The sequence below is a fragment of the Homo sapiens genome, chromosome 4 (genome assembly GCF_000001405.40).
Source record: "Homo sapiens chromosome 4, GRCh38.p14 Primary Assembly".
In the NCBI taxonomy this organism is placed as follows: Eukaryota; Metazoa; Chordata; class Mammalia; order Primates; family Hominidae; genus Homo; species Homo sapiens.
In genome coordinates, this window is record NC_000004.12 from 170,580,337 (window position 1) to 170,586,424 (window position 6,088).

The window sequence follows — 6,088 nt, forward strand, 5'->3', positions numbered from 1 at the left end:
ATTAGAAACCATAAAGACTGGAAGGAAGTGGCACAACATTTTTTATGCCCAGTGAAAATATCTGTCAGGAATCAAGGGGGAAGTTAAGACATTAGAGATTGGAAAAAAAATAACTAAGAGAACTTGTGGTCAGGAGAACTAATCTAAAGTAGTGACTAAAGATGTTCTCTGAACAGAAAAGAAATGATTCAGGCAGAATCATTGGAAAATCAGGAAAAGAGATAAAACATGGTAAACAAAATATGAGCAAAAACAACTGATTTTCTTTGTGTTTTTTAGTTTTTGAAAATGAGGATTGATGCAAAATTTATGACACTATTTGATGTGGTTCTAAGACTGTATTAGAAAAAAACACAATGATTTTATAAGTGGAAGAATTTAATGATTTTATAAATGGAAGAACACAAAGGAAGGCAAGTTTTTTACACCTCACTTGGGCTGATAAAATGATGACACCAGTAGATTGAGATAAGTTATGTATATATAATGCAGTACCTATGGCAACCACCGCAAAGGTTTACAAAGAGGTGCATTAAAAAATAAGTTAAAATGAAATTCTAAAAAATGTTGAAGTAATCCACAGGCAAGAAAAGGAAAACAGAAAAATATAAAACAGAGAACAAACATTAAACAACAACAAAAAACATATGTAAGCCCTAAAATATTAATTATTACATTAAGTGTGAATGGTCTAAATCAGCAGTCCCCGACATTTTTGGCACCAGGGACCACTTTTTTTTTTTTTTTTTTTTTTTTTTTTTGAGAAGGAGTCTTACTCCGTCCCCCAGGCTGGAGTGAAGTGGCACCATCTCAACTCACTGCAACCTCTGCCTCCTGGGTTCAAACGATTCTCTTGCCTCAGCCTCCTGAGTAGCTGGGCTTACAGGCATGTGCCACCACGCCAGGCAAATTTTTGTATTTTTAGTAGAGATGGGGTTTTGCCATGTTGGCCAGGCTGGTCTTGAACCCCTGACCTCAGGTGATCTGCCTGCCTTGGCTTCCCAAAGTGCTAGGATTACAGGCGTGAGTCAGGGCGCCCAGCCCAGTTTTGTGGAAGACAATTTTTCCACAGAAGGGGCCAGGGGTAGGGGGCAGGGAATGGGTTTGGGATGAAGCTGTTCCACCTCAGATAATCAGGCATTAGTTAGATTCTCATAAGGAGCAGGCAACTTGGATCCCTCACGTGCACAGTTCACAGTAGGTTCCACAATAGGCTCGTGCTCCTGTGACAATCTAATCCTGGCGGCTGATCTGACAGGAGGCGGAGCTCAGGCAGAAATGCTGGCTCATTTCCTCCTGTGCCTTCCAGTTTCGAAGAGGCTACAGACCAGTATCAGTCTATGGCCCAGGGGTTGGGGACTCCTGGTAAATTCACCAATTAAAGACAAAGATTAGCAGCATGAATTAAAAAACATGACCCAACTCTACGCTTTCTGTAAGAAACTGACTTCGTTTATAATGGCATAGGTTGAAAGTAAAATGTTGGAAAGAGATCTGTCATGCTAGAACAACTAAGCAGAAAATCAGCAGGCTATAAAAGAACTCAAAAACATCGTCAACTAACAGAATCAAATTGACATTTAAAGAGCGCTTTATCCAATATCGGAAGAACACACATTAAAGTAGCTACCTCCCCTTATCTGCCATTTCATTTTTCACAGTTTCAGTTACCTGCAGTCAACCGCATAGTCTGAAAATATTAAATGGAAAATTACAGAAATAAACAGTTTGTAAGTTTTAAATTGTGTACCATTCTGAGCAATGCGATGAGACCTCATGCTGTCCTATTCATCATACCTGGGACATGAATCAGCCCTTGGACCAGCGTAGCCATGCTACCTATTTGTTATGTTACCTGTTTGTTAGTCGCTGATTAGGTGTCTCCTGTATCAGATCAACTGTAGCACTGTTGCAGTGCTTGTGTTCAAGTAACCCCTATTTTTACTTAATCATGGCCCCAAAGCTCGAGTGGTAGTGTTGGCAATTCAGATATGCCAAAGAGAAGCTGTAAAGTGCTCCCTTTAAATAAAAAGGTCTGTAAAGTAAAAACTGACTTAAGTCAATTTGACTGTAAGTAAAAATTGACTTAATAAGGAAAAAAAAATATATGCCGAGGTTGCTGAGATCCACGGTAAAAACAAATCTTCTATTCATGAAATTGTAAAGAAAGAAAAACAGTTTGTGCTAGTTTAGCTGTTGCATTTAAACCGCAAAAGTTACAGCCAAAGTGATAATAAGTGCATGATAAGTGCTTAGTTAAGATGGAATAGCCGTTAAATTTGTGAATGGAAGACATGAACACAAACATGTTCTAATTGAAGGCAATCAGGGTCAGTACTATCTGCAGTTTCAGTCATCAACTGGGGGTCTTGGAACGTATTCCTCATAGATAAGAGGGGACTACTGTATTTTCAAGTCCTGCAGAATATATATCAAGATATACCATATCCTGGGTTATAAACCAAAACTCAGAAAATTGGAAAAACTGGATATCATACAAATTGTGTTCAATCGATAAAATTATACTAGAAATCAGCAACAGTAAAATCTTTTTCCAAACACTTGGAAATAAAACAACACACTTTTAAATAATCCATAGGTAAAAGAGAAAGTGTCAAGTAAAGAAAATAAAAATACAACATATAAACATTTGTGGGGCACATTTAAAGCAGTATGAAGAAGGAAATTTATAGCACTAAATGTATACACTAGAGAAGAAAGTCTTAATACTTTAGGCTCCCACCTCAAAAAACATACAAAAAGAAGAGCAAAATGTACCCATACCAAAATAAAGGAGGAATTCATAATGATAATAGCAAAACCCAATAAAATTGAAAACAAAAAATAGGAAAAGTTAATTAAAAAGCTTGGTTTCTGACATCAATAAAATTAATAAATCTCAAATAAGACTGACAAAGAAAAAGAAAAAAATCCAAATTACAAATATCAGGAATAAAACAGGATATCACCACAAGCCCTGAATACATTAAAAGGATAATAAGGGAATGCTAGAGACCACTGTACACACAAAAATCTGACAACTTTGGTGAAATTATAAACTGATTCTTCAGAAAACAGAACTACCACTACTCACCCAATATAAAAATGATAATTTGTATAAGCCTATAACTGTTAATATTAAAGAAACTAAGTTTATAATTTAAAATTTCCCCAAAAAAGAAATATTCAGGCTCAGATGGTTTCATTGAAGAATTCTCTTATACCAAATGTTTTAAGAATTAACAATTTTACATAAGCTGTCTTGGGATAAGTAGCTTTGTGATCTAAGAAAAGGAGAAGGTTACTAGATGATCCCTAAGGATTCTTCCTAAAGGTAGTCTATCTTGAAGGAAGAAAAACCCTCTGAAACCTATGTTAAATGCATTACTAAATATATGTCAGTGGAGATGGTTGCAAACAAGCTATATTGGCCGAGGTTCTGGGCTTTATCCACAGTATGGAATAATGGAGGGGCAGAGAAAATTCTTATGTTAATCAAAATTGCTTCAAATTCTCACAAATTATGATGTTTTATTATAACAGCTTCTGTATTAAATACACTCTCATTATATGAATGTTTTACTAAAATTAAGCTGACGATATAAACACAATATAAATAAATAGAACTTGTGATTTTTCAATAACTTATCTTCCTGAATACATTCCTAACTCATCTTTTTTCAGGGTAAGGTGATTCCAAACTGGAATTTCCCAAAGGACATGCATAACGTGTGTTAAATGAGTTTTCTTATGTTTTCACCCAGCAATGGATAATCGTTTAAATTACTTTGTCTATATCATCATGAGCCAATGTTTTTAAGAGCCTTGGTTCTTTCAGAACTTTAAGTTATTGACATAAAGTTATTGACATATTAATACCACATTTTTTTTTGCAATGATAGTCACACTTCTTATTACCCTCATGACTAAGACTGCTATTTTCTAATTGAGAATAACCTTGAAGGGTAGATCATCAGTTGTGTTTAATTTGCTTTTGTATATACAATTTTTGTATTCATCCTCAGAAGTACCCAGAATTGTTATTTAAATTTTAGCTTCCTGAGTACTGAGCAAATGGTGTCCATTCTGGGGCATGTGTATCAAAGAATTTAATTACAATTTTTAAATTACAGTTTTTAATTCAGCTGATCACATTGGTTTAATATGTGAGAGATAAGCTTCAAAATTTAAACTGTGATACCCTATAGTCTACAGACTATATGGTTTTTGGCAAAATGTATCCTTTATGTACTGGTGGGACTCTGTTTGGAGCAACGCGTAGCATTTTATTAGTTTAAAGGCTCTGAAGGGGCATTGTGAATAACACTACTTCCTCATTTAACTTACTCAATATATTTCGATGAAGTACACCAGTGGGACAAAATGTTGAAGAAACACAAACTTTTAAAGTTGCCAGTGATTTAATTTAACACAAGTTTCTTTGGTATTTGCATACACAGATTGTATTATTTATAATTAACTTCCCTAGTCATGTATTTTCAGCTTTCCAAATCCCTCAGTAAGTATCCTTCTGCCTTGTTGAAAAGTTCAGTTACATATGACAGCACCAATCTGGCATTTAAATGTGACACTCATTTTAATGTGACACTCATTCTTCAAATAATACACACAAAGTGACATACAAGAAGACCATCTACTTTGTGTCCCCTGTCACCTCTGCCTGTGGCTCCCATAGATTAGCGACTCGAGGGCTGAACTTGCCACTCTATCACAGTGAGAACACGTTCTTTTTTCCAATTAATTTTCATGTAAAAAATGAGATAAATGATCTCTTTTTAAATGTTTTTTTTTATTGTTGCTGTTCCTAGAAGACAATTTACTGTTTGTTTTGATTATATTCAATGAACCTGTATGGGATTGAAATTTGCTCCAAAAGCTACTTTGAAAACAAAAGAAAAAAAGGAGATTTCAATACCTCAACACAGAGTAGATTTTAGTGGATACTGTCTCAGTGTATTGCGACTCTCCATTCCATCATAAAGCTATTAATTTGCTCTGTTAAAAAAAACTGTTAAAACACAAAATATAGCCAGTTTCTCTTTCTCCTTAATTACATGCCTACACATAGTTCCAACATCATGTCGAATCAAGCTGGAAATTTTCAGTTTCTTTTTTTTACTATATTGATGAGAACATATGGTCACTATTTTTATCTCCTGTCTTATTTCAGTGCATTTCTGTTATTACTGCTCTTCATTTCAGCAACCACTGTAGATTCTAAGAGTCACCTATGTCAATACATTTTATATTTCCAAACATATTGTTCCCAAGTCGTTTGAGAAGATATGAAAATATGCTTCTTTAGCTTGTTCCATGATAAGATATCTTCCTGTTGTCAACTACTAAGACAGAAATCCAGGCCAAATTGAAAATTTGTCTGACAAGAGGTAAATGTATTAACCACATTCTCTTAAAACTTGTTTGATGCAGAGGAATGATTTTGAAGTACTCCAACTATTTCAATGACTATTAGTAAATATTAGAAAAGAAAATGTGAGTAATTCAAGTAATCTGGCTGAAACTTTGTTCCAAACTGGAATTTGAGCAAATTACAGTCTCAAAGGATAAGTAGTGTTAATTTTTCATGTTTACCCTGGAAGTTCCCAATTAAATAAATAGACCATTACAATAAAGACAATAGAAGAGTCTTAATTAAACATAAAGGACAATTGACCCTTATAGGTTACATATGACAATATTTTAGTAATCAATGTCCCAGTTTGTCTGGGACTTTTCCAATTTTAGCAGTGATAGTCACAATTCTGAGAAACTACTCAGACCTAAGCAGATTGGAATGCTTGGTAGTTCTGTAATGAGGTCATTAAATTTAATTAAAGCTATCTAGTCTATTATATTTGAAAAGATGCAATTATGTTTTAAGATAAGTAAGAATATTAAATGCATATTAATTTAAAAATATTGACTGCACAGTCAATCAAGTTTACTTCAAATCATCTCTTTTAAGAAGTAATTTTGGCCAGGCACGGTGGCTCACACCTGTAATCCGAGCACTTTGGGAGGCCAAAGTGGGCGGATCATGAGGTCAGCAGATCGAGACCATCCTGGC